This window comes from Homo sapiens, chromosome 20 (genome assembly GCF_000001405.40).
Source record: "Homo sapiens chromosome 20, GRCh38.p14 Primary Assembly".
In the NCBI taxonomy this organism is placed as follows: Eukaryota; Metazoa; Chordata; class Mammalia; order Primates; family Hominidae; genus Homo; species Homo sapiens.
In genome coordinates this window covers 45090593-45107580 of record NC_000020.11, presented here as the reverse complement: position 1 = coordinate 45107580, position 16988 = coordinate 45090593, and the positions used below count along the sequence as shown (strand labels likewise).

At 48.8% G+C, this 16988-nt stretch overlaps 1 protein-coding gene across 2 annotated transcripts; it reads left to right on the top strand.

Moving 5' to 3' along the window:
• The first annotated feature begins 6453 nt into the window (after positions 1–6453).
• KCNS1 (potassium voltage-gated channel modifier subfamily S member 1) lies at positions 6454–16367 on the top strand. Of its 2 annotated transcripts, NM_002251.5 has the most exons (5): positions 6454–6660; positions 7220–7421; positions 8342–8420; positions 8886–9919; positions 12241–16367. In NM_002251.5, the coding sequence occupies exons 3-5, from the start codon at positions 8345–8347 to the stop codon at positions 12709–12711; spliced, it is 1581 nt and encodes a 526-aa protein (NP_002242.2). In that variant the 5' UTR covers positions 6454–6660; positions 7220–7421; positions 8342–8344; the 3' UTR covers positions 12712–16367. The 2 variants fall into 2 exon arrangements, with proteins under 2 accessions (NP_002242.2, NP_001309728.1); NM_001322799.2 differs by lacking the exon at positions 7220–7421.
• The last annotated feature ends 621 nt before the right edge of the window (positions 16368–16988 follow it).

Genomic DNA, 16988 nt, shown 5'->3' with positions numbered 1-16988 from the left:
GGCTAGAGTGCAGTGGCACGATCTTGGCTCACTGCAACCTCCACCTCCCGAGTTCAAGTGATCCTCCTGCCTCAGCCTCCCAAGTAGCTGGGATTACAGGCACCTGCTACCACACCCTGCTAATTTTTATATTTTTAGTAGAGATGGGGTTTCACCATGTTGGCCAGGCTGGTCTTGAACTCCTGACCTCAGGCAATCTGCCTGCCTCAGCCTCCCAAAGTGCTGGGATTACAGGTGTGAGCCACCTCACCTGACCTCCACCCTTCTTAGAGCTTCTGCCCTCTGCCATGAGAAGAGCTTGCCCGGAGCCACTTGTCTTGCTGGAGAGACACCTGGGGCAAGCCTGAAGCTGAGCCAGACCAGCCAAGCCTCAAACTTGCCAAAGAGAAAAAAATATTTGTGGTAAGAAGTCACAGAGATTCAAGGGTTGTTTGTCACAGATTTATCACAGTAAGAGCTTGACTAATTCAGATTCTGGTTATTAGTCTGTAATGAACGTCTACTGCAGATCTCCCACTTTTAAACATCATTTCATTCATCCAACCCATAACCCTGAGAAAGGCTATTCCCATTTGACAGTGAAGAAATAGTGGTTATGAGATAAGTGACTTGCCCAAGACCCCCAGCTGAGAAATGATGTAGCCAGGATTAAACCATACCATATTCCTCCCTTGAAAGTAATAAAGGCAGCAACAGCTAACAATTACAGATCATGTGCCATGGACCAGGTATCATTTTAATCACTTTACATGTATAATCTTGTATAATCTCATGAAATCCTCATATCCTTATCGGGTAGGCTTCATTACTTTTCCCCATTTCACACATGAGGAAACTGAAGCACAAAGAGGTTAATTTGGCCAAAGTTGTCCAACTTGTAAGTACTAGAGCTGGGATTCAACCCCAAGCAGTCTAACCATAAACTTTACATCCCTATTGACTACTCTAATTAATTACAATCGGTCTTTGAAGATTTCTCCCACTTAAGATTCCTCCCATTTGAAGATTCAGTGTCCATATCTGAAAAATGAAGATCACAAAGACCTAAGAAGGTTAAGTGACCAGACTTAATTCTAGACAACTGGAACCCAAGCCTGTTGATACACAGCTTATTGCCCTAGGTTTCTTTCCTCAAAGGCATCAGGAGGAAAATTAGGGGGTCACAGCAGGAAGCTCCCAGTTAAGCCAGTTAAGACTTGGCTGTCAAGAGCCCTGTGACTATCCTGGAGCTCTGAGTTCTGAGCTAGGTCCTTGGAATGGCAAGAGGTGACAGGTCACAGACCATGGCTTCTCTGGCTATAGGTAGCAGCATCTACACAGTCCATTCTAGATTCCCTGCTCAGCTTCCTGGCTAACTCACTCCCTGTTCCAGCAGTTCTGTGAGCTGGTCTATGCAGTGCCATCTCTGAGTTCAGCTCCAACCCAGTCAGCTCTATCTGTACTGCCTGTCTCCTCTGCCTTTCTGGAAAGTCTCCTAGGAGGCTGGTTCCTTTTGCAGACTCTAACCTTGCTTTCCTCCCTCACTTATTCAATAAATGTTTGCTGAGCACTTAATATAGGCTTTAGGCTGTGCTTCGCAGAACTCATGCACTAGTGGATGAGACAAAGCCCTAGCTAGAGAGTTGCATGACATATACCAGACTAGAGAGGTCTGGGAGGCTATGGGAGGCCAGGAGAGACCTAACTCAGCCTAGAAACCAGGCAAGTCTTCCTGAAGATGATATCTAGGTCAAGACCTTGAGTTTTAGCAGGAGCTAGCCAAGTAGAACACTTGTAATTATCCATTCTCCCCTTCTTCCTTACCAATAGCAGTGTCCCTGGTTAGAAATATTTGCCCCACCCCACCCCCAGGCTCTTGGAGTGCCAGTGACATTCCATATTTTGTCCTGGGTGGTAGTTACAATGGATACATACATTTATTTACAAAAAAATCATTCAGCTGTTGTGCACTTTACCATAGGAACAGTATATTTCAATTTTAAAGGTAAATTAAAATTTTAAAAATATGTTTCCTCTCCAGGCTCCCTTGCACCAAACAATGATCACGTGACCCAAGACTGGCCAATCAGAAGTAAGAAAAATCTACTAGGCGGGGCTACATGGCAAGCTATAGTTTTCCTAACTAAGGAGATAGACTTGGCCTTTTGTCTGTCATCCATTTACCCTGTGTCCTTCCTGGAACATGGCTGCTGCCACTAGAACAGCCATCTGGTGTCCTTGAGGATTGTCTTAGTTGGGTTCCCCCAGAATAAATCTTGAGATGAAGAATCATATGACAGTGATGCTTTGGAAATGTTTCCAGGAAAAATGGCTATAGGAGTACAGAAGTTCACCAGGAAGAGAAGAAGCCAGTGAGGATGTGAAATCCAGTGAAGTCCCACAGGGCAGTTCTAGAAACAAGAAATGTTTCTATAGATGGAGCACATACATTCTCAGGTACTTCAGGTTCTCCCTGTGCGGAGCCATAGCAGGCTCTGGCAGCCTCAGGAAAGCCCCAGATACCAGCTGTCAGGAGGAAAAACATACCAGGAGCCTGTGTGCACAAAAGCGGTAAAGGATCCCAGAGGAGCTGTGGGCACGAATGAGTCACATAAGAATGGTGGAGGAGGAAGTGACAAGGAGCCTGGGTCTTCAGGGCTATTCATGAGCAGCTGTACCTACCCTGGCCTGCCAAAAAAAAAAAAAGTAAACTCTTCTCTAGTGAAGTCACTGTAATTCCGTTTCTGTTCCCGCAGCTAAGTTAAATTCTAACTGATATGCAGGGTAAAGAAAGGGCAGGAGGAGTTGTTCATGGAGAGGGAACAGCATGTGCTGGTCCTCATCTCAATCCTGAAAGGTAGGTGTTGTTCCCATTTTACAGATGAGGAAGATAAAGATCCAAGAGAAGTGCTTGGCCCAAGGTCACACACCAGTTTAGTGGCAAAGGCAGGATTCGAACCCAGTGTATTCATTATCTATTGCTGTGTAACAAGGTTTCACAAATGCAGCAGCTTAAAGCAACACACATGTATTATCTCACAGTTTCTATGGGTCAAGAACACGGGCACAGTTTAACTGGGTCTTCTGCTTCAGTTTCTCTGCTTCACGAGACTGCACTCGAGGGGTCGGCCATGGTGGGAGTCTCATCTGAGCCTCAATTAGAGAAGGATCCACTTTCAAATTCACAGGGTTGTTGGCGGAATGTCAGTTCCTTGAGGACTAATGAAGTGAATACCGCAGCTCCTGGCTGGTTGTTGGCTGGAAGTCCTCCTCATTTTCTTACCTTTCCCGCCTGGCAACTTGTTTCATCAAAGCCAGCTGGAAGTCACAACCTTAAGTAACCTAATCAGAGAAGTGACATCCCATCACTTTTGCCATATTCTGTTCATTAGAAGCAGCTCAGTAAGGCCTGTCCACACACAAGGGGAGGGGATTGCACAAGGGCATGAACACCAGGAGGCCGACATCACTGGGAGACATCTTAGAAGATGCCCGTCACATCCAGGTCTACTTAATTCCAAAATTTTCTGTATTTTCTGCAAAATCAAGCTTACTCTGAAGGTAAAACCCCATGGATTCCAATGACTAAACCTGGTCAGGGACTGAGGGAGAATTTGGGGGACAGACCATCCATGGTACATGAAGGACAGGGATGCCCCGTCCTTCCCACCCATAAGGCCCACCTTCCCACTCTTGTGGCTCACAGATTCCACCAAAACTTCATTTACCTCTCACTGTGTAATCTGGGGATGAAACCAGATCCTGGTTTCATTCTCTTCTGCCTTTGGGAAATAGGTCTGTCTTTTCTCTCAATTTTGGAAACCGTCTCTGCAGCTCCAGGGAAAACTCCTGAGTCCTGAGGGGTAGCAAAGGCTGCAGACAAACTCTTAGGCCAGGAAACAGAAGACCTGCTTCTCGGCAAATCTGCCTCAGTTTCCCTGTTGGTCAAATGAGGGAATTGGGCAAGATGCTCACTAAGCAGCTTCCTGCTCTAACTTCTTCTTTCGAGGGAAAAACTAAAGTGGCACAGCCTAGGGCTGTGCTGTCTAATATGGCAGCCACGAGCCATGTGTGGCTACCGAGCACATAAAATGTGACTAGTCCAAACTGAGATATGCTATAGATAAATCTCAAAAAATCTCTCTCAAAAAATAAAAAATAAAATAAATTAGTACACTAGATTTATATATGGGAGGCAGAATTCAGATGACCCCTCCTCAATGATCCTCATCCCTGTATAATCTCCTCCTCTTTAAGTGTAGGTGGAACCCGTGAATGTATATTATATGGCAGAAGGGAGAGTGCCCTGGGTGGGCCTGGACTAATCAGGTGAGAGTTTTAAAGCCAGAGATTTTTCTCTGGCTGGTTACAGGAGAGGAATTCAGCACTCTGATGTCCCTGAAAGAAAGCAAGCATTCATGCTATGAACTGCCTATGGGGCAGCTTCTAGAATCTGAGATTGATCCCTCGGAGACAGCTAACAGGAAAAGAGAGACCTCAGTCCTATAACCACAAGGAAATGAATTCTGCCAACAATCTGTGAGCTTGGAAGAAAACTCTGAAGCTCACATGAGAACCTCAACCCTGGCCAACACCTTGGCTTCAACCTGGTGAGACCCTGAGGGTCCAGCCAGGCCATGCCCAGACTTCTGACCTACAGAAACCATGAGATCATAAATTTGTATTGTTTTAAGCTACTAAATTGTGGTAATTTGTTATGTAGCAATAAGAAAAATTAGTACTGGATTTTAGAGACTTAGTACAAAAAAAAGAAAATGTAAAATATCTCAATAATTTCTTTACTGATTCCAATGTTGAAATCATAATATTTTAGATTTAATAAAATATATCACTAAAAATACAGTTGATCCTGAAACAACACGAGTTTGAACTGCTAGTGTCCACTTACATGCAGATTTTTTTCCAATAAATACATTGGAAAATTTTTGGAGATTTGTGACAATTTGAAAAAACTTACAGATGAACCATGTAGACTAGAAATATCAAAAGCCTTAAGAATAAGTTAGATATGTCGTGAATGCCTAAGATATATGTAGATACTATTTATGTGTCAATCGACTGTTTATATTATTGGTAAGGTTTCTGGCGAACAGTAAGTTATTACTAGTTAAGTTTCAGGGGAGTCAAAAGTTATATTCTAATTTTCTAGGCATGGAGGAGTGGTTTCCCTAACCCCCACTGTTTAAGGGGTAACTGTAATTTCGCCTGTTTTTTACTTCTTTAAAATGTTGCAATCAGAAATGTAAAAGGACATATGTGGGCCGGACGCGGTGGCTCATGCCTGTAATCTCAGCATTTTGTGAGGCCAAGGCAGGTGGATCATTTGAGGCCAGGAGTTCAAGACCAGCCTGGCCAACATGGTGAAACCCCTTCTGTACTAAAAATACAAAAATTAGCTGGGCATGGTGGTGCATGCCTGTAATCCCAGCTACTCAGGAGGCTGAGGCAGGAGAATCGCTTGAACCCAGGAGGCGGAGGTTGCAGTGAGCCAAGATTGTGCCACTGCACTCCAGCCTGCAACAGAGTGAGTGAGACTCTATCTCAAAAAATCAAAAATAAAATAAAATAAAATTATATATGTGGCTCACATTATAGGTGTTGGACTGTGCTGGCCTAGAGGACTCAGAAGTCAGCCATGGGACCTCCGGCAAGTCACCACACCTCTCAAAGCAGTTCTTATCTGTGAGATAGGAATAATAGTAGCACTTACCCCACAGATAAATTTGCAGTTTGAGTGAGATTGAGGTCTGTGCTTGACCCAAGGTAAGTACTCAATAAACGTTGGTAATTATCATTATTATTAATAACAATATGTGCAAAGGCTCATATCCAGGCCCTAGTCTCCAGGAGCCTCTCCCCAACCAGGCACACAGCAGCCACACAACAGGTACATGTGTGGGGATTTCACAACCTCTACAAAGCTCTTTGGCACATGTTCTCTGCCCTCACAACCCACTTGGCAGGTGGGAATCAGGAACCCGTGGGCAGGTAAGGACACTGCGCCTCAGGGGTAAAATGATCGTTTCAAGCTTCACAACTCACCTAGGAAGAACCTGGGGCTCCAAGGGAGATGAGGCCACCTTCTACAGCTCCCTAACTCAGATGCCCACGGTCTGAGAAAATGACTGGAGCTCACCCCTAAAATGGGCGACATAAGATCCTGGCCCTGTCAAGTGTGTGTGCCAGGAATAACTGAGATCAATCACTTGCAGCAGCTGAAGTACCCTGGCACATACTAAACACTCAATTAAGTAAATCATGATTACTGTTGTTCCTTTGCCAGAGAAGCTTCTGCTGAAATCCCTCTCTACGGGGAATCCTCACGCCCTAAATGACCCCTCCTTCCCGGCCCGTAACTCCGGAGGATGCCCCTGCAGGTAGGCCCAGTCTCCAGACACCACCACCCCCCAGCCGAGTCAGGAATAGAAACCGCCGCCTCCGGCCGCCAGCGGCCTCACTCCCTCCTCCGGCAGCGATCGATGCGGCCTTCAGCCGCGGGGGACTAGGCAAGGAAGAAGGAAGGAGAGGGCAGCGGGGCCGCCTGCAGCAGGAGGCTCGGCGGGGCCGGCGGGGCAGAGGCGAGACCGAGTATAGCCAGCGGCTCCCAGCCTCGGTGGCTTTGGGACAGACACGCGAGGCGCCCGGGAGGTGCCACCACAGGTAAGGGGCCTCCTTTGGGGAGGGACGTGGCTCCGGGACGGTCCCGGGCAGCCAGAGTGGGAGGCGGGGCTGCCTGGGGCTCCTGGTGCTCTTACCCCCTCTAAGAGACCCCCCACCCCCCGCCAAGGAGGAAGCAGTGTGGGGTGGCCGCGCTTTGGAGACCCTGGCTGGTACAGTTTGCTCATCTGTAAAATGGGATTAGAAAACCTCCCTGGCAGGGTTGGTGTAGGGATTAAACCGAGTGAGGTGTGCATGGAGCCCAGAGGAGTGACTAGCAGATAGGAGGTGCTCAAAATAAGTGTGTGGAGAGAGAATGAAATAAAAAAACCTGGTCTCCAACCTTAGCTGTGCCATGGACTAGCTGGGTGATTTTGAACAAGTCACTTGGTCTTTCTTACTGATATTCAGGTTCTTGTCAGAAAATGTTTGTTGAATTAATTATCCTGTTTCATAGAGCAGGAAAGTGAGCTCCTGATGGATGAAGGGATTTGCCCAATATTATGCTTCTAATGGGTGATGGAACTGGATTAGAAATTTCATTTTTTGATGCCAAATGCAGGTGGAGATCCAAGTGGAGGTGGGAGCGGAGCTACATCACACGTTTATTGTGCATTGATTATGTGCCAGGGACCATGCTGCCGATAAACACCTTGCATCATTTAATTCTCTGAGCCTCTCCTGGAAAGTATGATGCTACCCGGTTCCACAGACAGGGAAACAAGCCCAGAGAGGGCGACGAATGCACTCAAGGACAGCAGCTAGTAAGTGGTAGACTCAGGTCTGACCACAGGGAAGTACACAGGATTAACATTTATTGAGCATCTACTGTTTTCCCAGGGCTTTGACATATACCACAATAATGATGCATCCAAAGCAACATTATCCCCATTCTAGAGGTAAAAGAGCTAAAGCCCAGAGTGGGAAGGAGACTGGCCTGAGGTCACACAAGTGATAGAGCTAAGGGTGGAACCCCAAATCCATTTAATGCCAAGCCCAGGTGCTTTACACACACTTAATCCCTAGTCTAGGCATTACTGAACCCACAGTGCAAATGAGATTGCCAGTGGTGAGGAGGTGTCACTAGCCCCCAATTCCAGCAGAGTCAGGAGTCAGTGGGTAGTGGAAGAACCTAAATCCTTCCTGAGTATCCACTAAGGCTGAGCACTTTCTATAATCTACCTTAATCCTCCAGTCATCCCTGGAGGTAGGTGCTATTATCTACGTTGTGCAGGAAATTGAGACCTGGAGGACAAATAGCTTCCTCAAGGCCCCAGGTGCGTCAGGGGTGGAGATAAACCCAGGTTTGCCTGACTCCAGAAGATAGTGACACCAGTGAATAATTTATTAAATTCCTTCTGTGAGCCAAGCCCAAGAAAGACACTAGGTCATTTAATCTTCATAACCACACTTTGAGGTGAATATTTTTATTTCCATTTCACAGAGGCTCAGAGAGGTGATGTTACTTGCCTAAGGTGACACAAGAGAGTCAAGATTCAAGGTCAGGTCTGGCTGACTCTACAGATGCTTTACATAATCTAAAGCAGGAGCTCTCAAACTTGACTATGTAGCCGAATCACTTTCCAATCTTGTTAGAACACAAAGTGCTAGACCCCACCCTTAGAGTTCCCGATTCAGTAAATCGATGGCAGGCTGAGAATTTGCATCTTTGACAAATTCCCAGGTGATGCTGATGCTGCTGGTCCGGGGAACACACTATGAGAACCTCCGGTCTAAAGTGGTGCTGCCAACACCCCTAGGAGGTAAGTGTTACTATCCTCATTTTGCAGAAGAAACAGGTTCAGAGGGCTGGCGGGCCCAAGATCCCACAGTAGACCTTTGGTGTAAATAAATCCAAGTTTGTCCTGGAAAAGGAGACATCCTATGTGAGCACCCACTAGGTGCCAGGACATCCTGCGATTCCATCGCTTTCATATCCTTCCAGGTAGATCTCAGCATTTACTTTCCAAAGGAGAAAAATGAAATGGGGGTGGGGTGGGTCAGTGATTTGGCCAAAGTCAAATGATGGGGATGAAGGATAGTCAAAGCCAGGCCTGACTCTGAGTCCAGAGGGCACCTGACATCTACTGAGCGCCTCCTGCATACCAGATGCTTCACACACAGCCTCCAACACCCCTTGGCTGGTTGGATGGAGGAGGGGATTTTAACCTGGTCTTCCAGGAAGGGAAGCCCGGGAACTCCTCAGCGCGCCCTTCTGGTGTCCGCAGGGAGGAGCACTGAAACCTTTGTGAGCGAGTTCCCGGGCCCCGACACCGGGATCCGCTGGCGGCGAAGCGACGAGGCGCTGCGCGTGAACGTGGGTGGCGTGCGGCGGCAGCTGAGCGCGCGCGCCCTGGCGCGCTTCCCGGGCACGCGGCTGGGCCGCCTGCAGGCCGCGGCGTCGGAGGAGCAGGCGCGGCGCCTGTGCGACGACTACGACGAGGCGGCGCGCGAATTCTACTTCGACCGGCACCCGGGCTTCTTCCTGAGCCTGCTGCACTTCTACCGCACTGGCCACCTGCACGTGCTCGACGAGCTGTGCGTCTTCGCCTTTGGCCAGGAGGCCGACTACTGGGGCCTAGGCGAGAACGCGCTTGCCGCGTGCTGCCGCGCGCGCTACCTGGAGAGGCGGCTGACCCAGCCGCACGCCTGGGACGAGGACAGCGACACGCCGAGCAGCGTGGACCCGTGCCCCGACGAGATCTCCGACGTGCAGCGAGAACTGGCGCGCTATGGCGCGGCGCGCTGTGGCCGCCTGCGCCGCCGCCTCTGGCTGACCATGGAGAACCCGGGCTACTCGCTGCCGAGCAAGCTCTTCAGCTGCGTCTCCATCAGCGTGGTGCTCGCCTCCATCGCCGCCATGTGCATCCACAGCCTGCCCGAGTACCAGGCCCGCGAGGCGGCGGCCGCCGTGGCTGCGGTGGCCGCGGGCCGCAGCCCGGAAGGCGTGCGCGACGACCCGGTGCTGCGACGCCTCGAGTACTTCTGCATCGCCTGGTTCAGCTTCGAGGTGTCGTCGCGCCTCCTGCTGGCGCCCAGTACGCGCAACTTCTTCTGCCACCCGCTCAACCTCATCGACATTGTGTCTGTGCTGCCCTTCTATCTCACGCTGCTGGCTGGTGTGGCACTGGGCGACCAGGGCGGCAAGGAGTTCGGCCACCTGGGCAAGGTGGTGCAGGTGTTCCGCCTCATGCGCATCTTCCGCGTACTCAAGTTGGCGCGCCATTCCACCGGGCTGCGCTCGCTGGGAGCCACGCTCAAGGTACGGCCTCTGAGGCCAGGTTGGAGCTGGGGTGGGCGGGTGTAGCCATCCGGCAGGTTAGCAGGTGAACTTACAAGCCTGCCGAGTCCAGGCTTAACGTTCAACTGAGATGCCGTCCTTTGTGCCAGGCACAGGGCTGCACACCAGGTGTACGTTTCACATGCAGTGTGACTATCCCAACAGCCCTGTGAAGAAGGGCTTACCGTTATCTCTTTTTCCTGGGGAGAAAACTGGGGCATAGCTTTGCTTGTCTTTCTTTTTCAAAACGAAGAAAAAAGACAAAGATCACTTTTGATATATCTATCAAACATCAAATTATATATATCACAAAGATGCGCAAAGCAGGATGCTAACTGGCTTTCTGCTAGAGCCTTTCTTCTGGCACTATCAGGGGGCTCTGATAACCATAGGTCACTCTTAATAGGTAAAGTCTAGGAATAGCCCCAGGAGCTAACACTTACTGAGCACTAAATCTGTGCCAATTTCACATCCATTATCAATTTAGTCCTTAGGAGAACTTCCTCAGGAAGATGCTATTATTTATTCTCTTCCCGTAGATGAAGAAGCTGAGGTTGAAGGGTTGGCTCTGTAAAGCCTGGTTGCAGTTTACTGAGCATCCTCCTTGTGCCAGGTGCTGCATTGTGGGTGAATCACTGCCCTGGCAAGCTTGCACTCAAGGGGGGTGAAATTAGCATGGTTTGAAGAGGGAGGCAAGGCGAACGGCGTGTGCCGAGGCCTGGAGAGAGAACAGGATGAATGCTGGGAGGAGGACATGGAGGGAAGGAGATTCCCAGAGATGAAATTGAAGAGTCGAGCGGGGCAGGGCACCGAAGGGTCATGAAGTCTTGGCACATGATTTTGGACTTGGTCCCGAGGGTATAGGAGAGCTCGTGAGAGGTTTAAACAGAGGTAAGGGTTATTGTCACTGCTTTGCAGAGGTGGAAACTGAGGCTCCCAGAGGTGACAGTGCTTGTTGGAGGTTCCTCAATAAGCAGTAGAACCCAGAGAAGAACCCACCTGTGCCTGGCTCCAGCACCTCATGTTCTTTCTCCTAAAGCTCCATGCGACCCTACTGATAATCCCCAGACAATGCTAAAAGAAAGATCCCTTCCACCCATGGCTTAGTAAAGCCTCTTGTATGCCCTCAGGATACTGGGTGCTGGCAGATGACCTAGGCAGAATCCTAGGGCAGTGGGCAGGTATAAGGAATTACATTCAGCAGACCCCCTGAGCTCAGCATCTCCCCAGGGAAGATCCCTGTGCCCCAGAACGCTGCCCTGTCCCCTCCATGCAGAGAGCCAGGGCCTGACACTACTAGCTTTGTCTTCAGTAGGGGAGAAGAGTATTACTAATCAGAGCTGCCAGGGTCTAAGATGCAGGTGTAATATACTCCAGATGAGAGCCTTGCTACTCAAAGTGAGGCCCCTGACCACCAGCAGCTTTCTCATCACTTGGAAGCTTTCTAGACATGTAGATTCTCTGGCTCTACCCAAGACTATGCGATTGCGTTCTGCCAAGACCCCTGCATGATTCCTGCACGCATTAAAGTTGGAGAGACTCTGCTTTAGACTAGGGGTTCTCAGCCTCGCATTACTGACATTTGGGACCAGGTAATTCTTTGATGTGGGAGCTGCCCTGTACATTTTAGGATGTTTAGCAGTATCCCTGGCCTTTACCCACTAGAGGGCAGTAGCACACCTGTCCCAGTTGCAACAACCAAAAATGTCTCTAGACGTTCCCAAATGTCCCTTGCGGGGTGGAGGCGGGGAGGTGGTGGGCAAAACCACCCTGTTTGAGAATCACTGCCCTAGAGCTTGGCCTCAGGGACAAAGCAAACATACACAGCCATAGGAAAGTGAATTCTGTGGGTGGTCCAGGGGACTTATGTCCTCTCAGCTTCCTGGAGGAGCAAAAAATATTTTTATACTTTTCAGACCAGTCAAAAGTACATGAAACCAACTCTTTGCATTGTGGAATATAAACTATGGTTCTCTTGGTTCTGCAACAGTGTAAAAATCACAAGCTCTTCATTCCCTGGCTGTGGTGCCACCAGTAACCCCGGAGTTGGAAAAAACAGCTGTAGCCTAGCAGATACCTTGGACAATAGAACTTAGGCCTGTGCGCAATACCAGGGGGTTTTGCTGCCAACTGTAGTTGAAAGGTCTTAGTTTAAAGTCAGGGGACCTGGGCCTTAGCACCAGCTCTATCTTGCTGACTTTGGACCTGTCCTTTATACTCTCTGGGCCTCAGTTTCCCCATATGCCTAATACCAGGACTGTAAGCCCATCCACTCTGACTTGGCTTTCTACATTCTCTTTCAGCACAGCTACCGTGAGGTGGGCATCTTGCTGCTGTACCTGGCTGTGGGTGTGTCAGTGTTCTCTGGTGTGGCCTACACAGCTGAAAAGGAGGAGGACGTGGGCTTTAACACCATCCCAGCCTGCTGGTGGTGGGGCACAGTGAGCATGACCACCGTGGGCTATGGGGATGTGGTGCCAGTGACGGTGGCTGGCAAGCTGGCAGCCTCAGGCTGCATCCTAGGGGGCATCCTGGTGGTAGCACTCCCCATCACCATCATCTTCAACAAGTTCTCCCACTTCTACCGGCGCCAGAAGGCTCTGGAGGCAGCCGTGCGCAACAGCAACCACCAAGAGTTTGAGGACTTGCTGAGCAGCATTGATGGGGTGTCGGAGGCATCTCTGGAGACATCCCGAGAAACCTCTCAGGAGGGACAGTCTGCAGATCTAGAGAGCCAGGCCCCCAGTGAGCCTCCACACCCTCAGATGTATTAAAACCAGGGATCCGTGACCCCCTGCCATGCCCCTACAGTAGAGATTCCTCCCCTGCTAAAGTTCTTCATGGTAGTGAGCCTCCCAGGATCACTCATGCTGTCCTGAGAAATGAGATTCAAAAGCTGCATTCCTTCCTCCAAAGGCCCAGGACAGGACAGTGCTACCCTAGATTCTGTGAGATTCTGCAAGCAACTCAGAAAGCTTTATAAACCTGCCTCCAAGCCATTCATGAAGCAGGCATGAGCCAGAGGGAGGAAGTTGAAAGGATACTAATGATTCCTGAGCACCTCCTGTACATGAACCAGGTCATGTTTGGCCTTGTGTTGGAGAAAGAGAATTATCCCCACTTCACAGATGAGGAAACCAAGGCTAAGAGATGAGCGATGCCTCTCCCAGATGTCACAATTAGAAGTGGCAGAGTCAGGTTTGGAATCTGGGCTTGTTGGTGTGCCTGGAGCAATGCTCCATCAACTCCATCTTTCTTCTGCCCTCATGAAGTTTGCGTGTGTTTTTTGGTGATTCATGGATCCCCAGAGTTGATCCACAAGATAAGAAATCCCTTTCAGAGCCAGGGAAGGGTCCAGACAGGAGATTTGGATATAGGAGCTCTGGATCTCAGCTGTGGTTCCTTTCTAGGAGCATCCAACAGGAGTCAGCAATCAAAGATGAGTCCTGGAGGGAAGGAGGATGAGTCCTGGGAGGAAGTACCATAGCATTGTACTTGCCTCTTTAGCTGGTATGCAAGATTTGCTAAGCAATAATCTTCCGACCTTCCTCCCAGGGCTGATGTGAGAGAAAGAAAATCTGAAGGGCCCCTGGCCTGAGATCTAGACAACCTAGCTGCGCCAAGACCTGCTGTGTAAAGTGGTCCAATCCCTGCCCCCAAGTCCAGATTCCAGCCCCTCTGTCAAATGGTCAGAATCTGTGACCCAGAGGGCAATGAAAGCCAAGGAGAGCAGAGGGGTCTCTAACTTAAAGCCAGCTCAGCTCTGAAATGTTCAGAGGGCTGACATATATGAATACTGGCTTCTAAGACCCTCCCCCAACAGTCTGACCTTGGCAGTTCCTTTCTGCCCATCACACAGACGTCCAGCCCTACATTGTCCAGCCCTACCTAGAGTACCCATCCAGGCCCATGTGTGAGAGTCCTCTCCCTTCTGGCCAGCTCCAGCCCCCTCACCCTTGCTGGGGGCATATCTCTCATACCCACCTGCTGAATCTTCTCTTCACTTGCTGAGAAAGTCAGAGGAGGGGATCCAGTAGCCCTTTCCACATACTGTGGCTACAGCACCCAGCACTGTGCTGTTGTTGTCTGACTGTGGCTATCTCTGTCCCATCACCCTGAGCCTCAAGATGGAAGACATTGTCTGCTTGAACTCTGGGCTTGGTGCAGAGTAGGTATTTGGTAAATGTTGAATAGATCAACCAATTCCTACAGCCCACTGGGTGCCAAGCTCAGAGGGGGAAAAAAAGATAGCCAGAGAGAGACCTGGCCCTCAAAAAGGTGTGAACAAGACTGAAAAGGAGGTCCGTTCAGCTCCGCCTGCCCTGTCCCTGCTTGGTTCTTGAAGTTTTTACAATATATTCCTTGTAGGTTCTTCACTCACTCACTCAACAAATACCCGTTGGAAGAGTCTTAAACTGGGGCTTCATGTGTGGCCTGCAGTCATGTTTCGGCTTAGTCCAACAGTGTTTTTATTATATTTTAAGAATCTGAATGCCTTTGCGTGAGGCATGCACTCTCAGGTTCCCCATAGTGTCTCCCCCGCTGCCACCCACAAACAGACACACATGCCGTTGTGTTATGCCCAGCCACTCTGATATACTGGCTTCTGACTTATGGGCTGCTTACTAGTCTCAAGAGATACAGTGGTGGAAAAATATATCCCTATACTCATGAAGCTTACCGACTAGTAGGGAAGATAGACTCTAATGCAATAATCACATAAATATAGCGAGCTCTACTAAGTACAGGTGTGTATAATGTATCAGGGACCATGGCCCGAGAAAGTGAGAAGGCTTTCCTGAGCAAGTGACAATCTAACCTGCCATCCAAATGATAAATTGCTAATTAAGCAAATGAGGTTCCAGGGGGGAGTACTCCAAGCAGAGAGAATGGCATGTGTGAAGGTGTGTGTCATACACAGGGCCTAGTACATAGTGGGCCCCCTACATACGCATGGATTCTGGGTCTCCAGATTGGAACAGAGGATGGAGCTAAGCAGCAAAGGGCCTCCCTTGAATTCACCACACACATACCAGCCCTTCTGCACACTCTGCTCCTTACATCTAGGCCCAGCTGAACCCAGGTTAGGGGCAGATCAGAAGGGCTGCGTGTAGCACCCTTATGGTCTTGCAGAACACACCAAGAAACCCGACGGCTTCCATATTTTCTGACCCTACAAACAGGTCCCTAATACTGATGTGGAGAAAGCTCAAGAGGGAATCATCTGGCCTGAGCCTACCATGAGGCTGTTTGTGGTCCTGGCAGAAAAGCAACAACTCGCTCCCCTTCCCATGTATCAGTGAAAACCATTATGCAAATAAAGAGCTGGGCCCCAGGACGTGTTTCTGCTTGTATGGAGATGGCTCCCTGACATGCTGTCTGAGTGATTGGAGAGGGTGGGCAATATGTGGAATGACTTGGAATCCACATTCTCAGGCTCCAGTCCTGGATTTGGCACAAACTTTGTGGTTGTGCCAGCCAGAACAGGTTGCAAGTGACAGGAATTCAGTTGGAACAAACTTGGTCAAAAAGGGTAATTTATAAAATAATTAAAGTGATGAATGACTGTTAACAATTAGAGTTTGAGGGTATAAGCAACAAACTGACATCAAGCAAAAAATGAATTTATTGGAAGATATATTAGTTTCCAGCAGCTGCTGTAACAAATTCAAACAAACTTGATGGCTTAAAACAGTAGAAGTGTATTCTCTGACAGTTCTGGAGGCCAGAAATCCAAAATCAAGATGTCAGCAGGGCCACCCTCCCTCTGGAGACTCCAGGGGGAAACCCTCTCCTTTTCTCTTCTAGTTTGTGGTGGCTGCCACCATTCTTGGCTTTCCTTGGCTGTGGCTGCATCACTCAAGTCTCTGCCTCTGATCTCACTTCAGTGTCTGTGTATGTCAAGTCTTCCAGTGCCTCTGTCTTACAAGGACACTTTTGATGACATTTAGGCCCACCAGGATAATCCAAGATGACCTCATCTCAGGATCCTTAACTTAACCACATTTGCAAAAAGACCCTTTCCCAAATAAGGTAATAGTTACGGGTTCCAGAGATTAAAATATGGACAGGTGTTTGGGGCCACCATCTGGCCCACTACAGAAGGGTATCTGTGAAATTCACCCGACCAAAGGAAGAGCTGACTGACGAGGCCTCAGGAAATACAGGAATGAGGGGAGCTCTAGGGACCTCAGTAGCAAGACTCATGAACCTTCTGTTTAAGACACTGCTACCCACATGATCTGCCTCCAGTCAACTTCCTTCCCTGTATCATCCTGCTCACAGTTCCAATCCCAGGAGAGAGTCTGATTTCACTTGAGTCATATGCCTCTCTCTTGGGAGGGATGGAGGGCAAGGTACCGTATTAGTATTTGCGGCAGTTGGAGGAAAGGTACTTACCCAAATAAAAGACCACCTATTGTCACCAAAAGAAAGGCAAAAGTTATTGATAAGCAAAAATAGCATACCATACACTCCCATCCTTTTCCCATACACACGATTTATGCATGTTTCTAACATAAGGAAACTCTCTTATATATAACCAACATATACCGATCTCCCCAAAGGAAAGACACCCTATGGGGCATATCCTGTTCATGAATCCAGCTATAAGTTCATTCTTCCACTGGTACCACTAATTCTGTCTCAATATCCTGTAATATAAGGAATAAATGGTAAATGTAACTGCCACCAGCATACCCTATATGATACTAGAGGAAAGGAAAAGAAAAACACAGCAAGGAGGAAAAGAGGCCATTGCTATGTCTTCATTTCTGTAATGGTCATAAGGCTGCTGCTGGCATTTATAACATCCCTTCTCTGTGAGCCATGTCATGCCCCCTGCCTTTGGCCAGCACTTTAGTTGGTTGGGATTCTTTTTTTGATGGGGTAACCTAAACCTTTATTCCTAGCGAATCTGAGCACTTGTTAGTCCTGCTGGCATGTGAAGATTCCCCAAGGAATTCCATGGAGTTACTTGCATTCCTTTCTGCCTACTTTGTGTAGCAGTAACCATATTTCCCCTTGACAGGGTGGTTGATTACCCTAATCA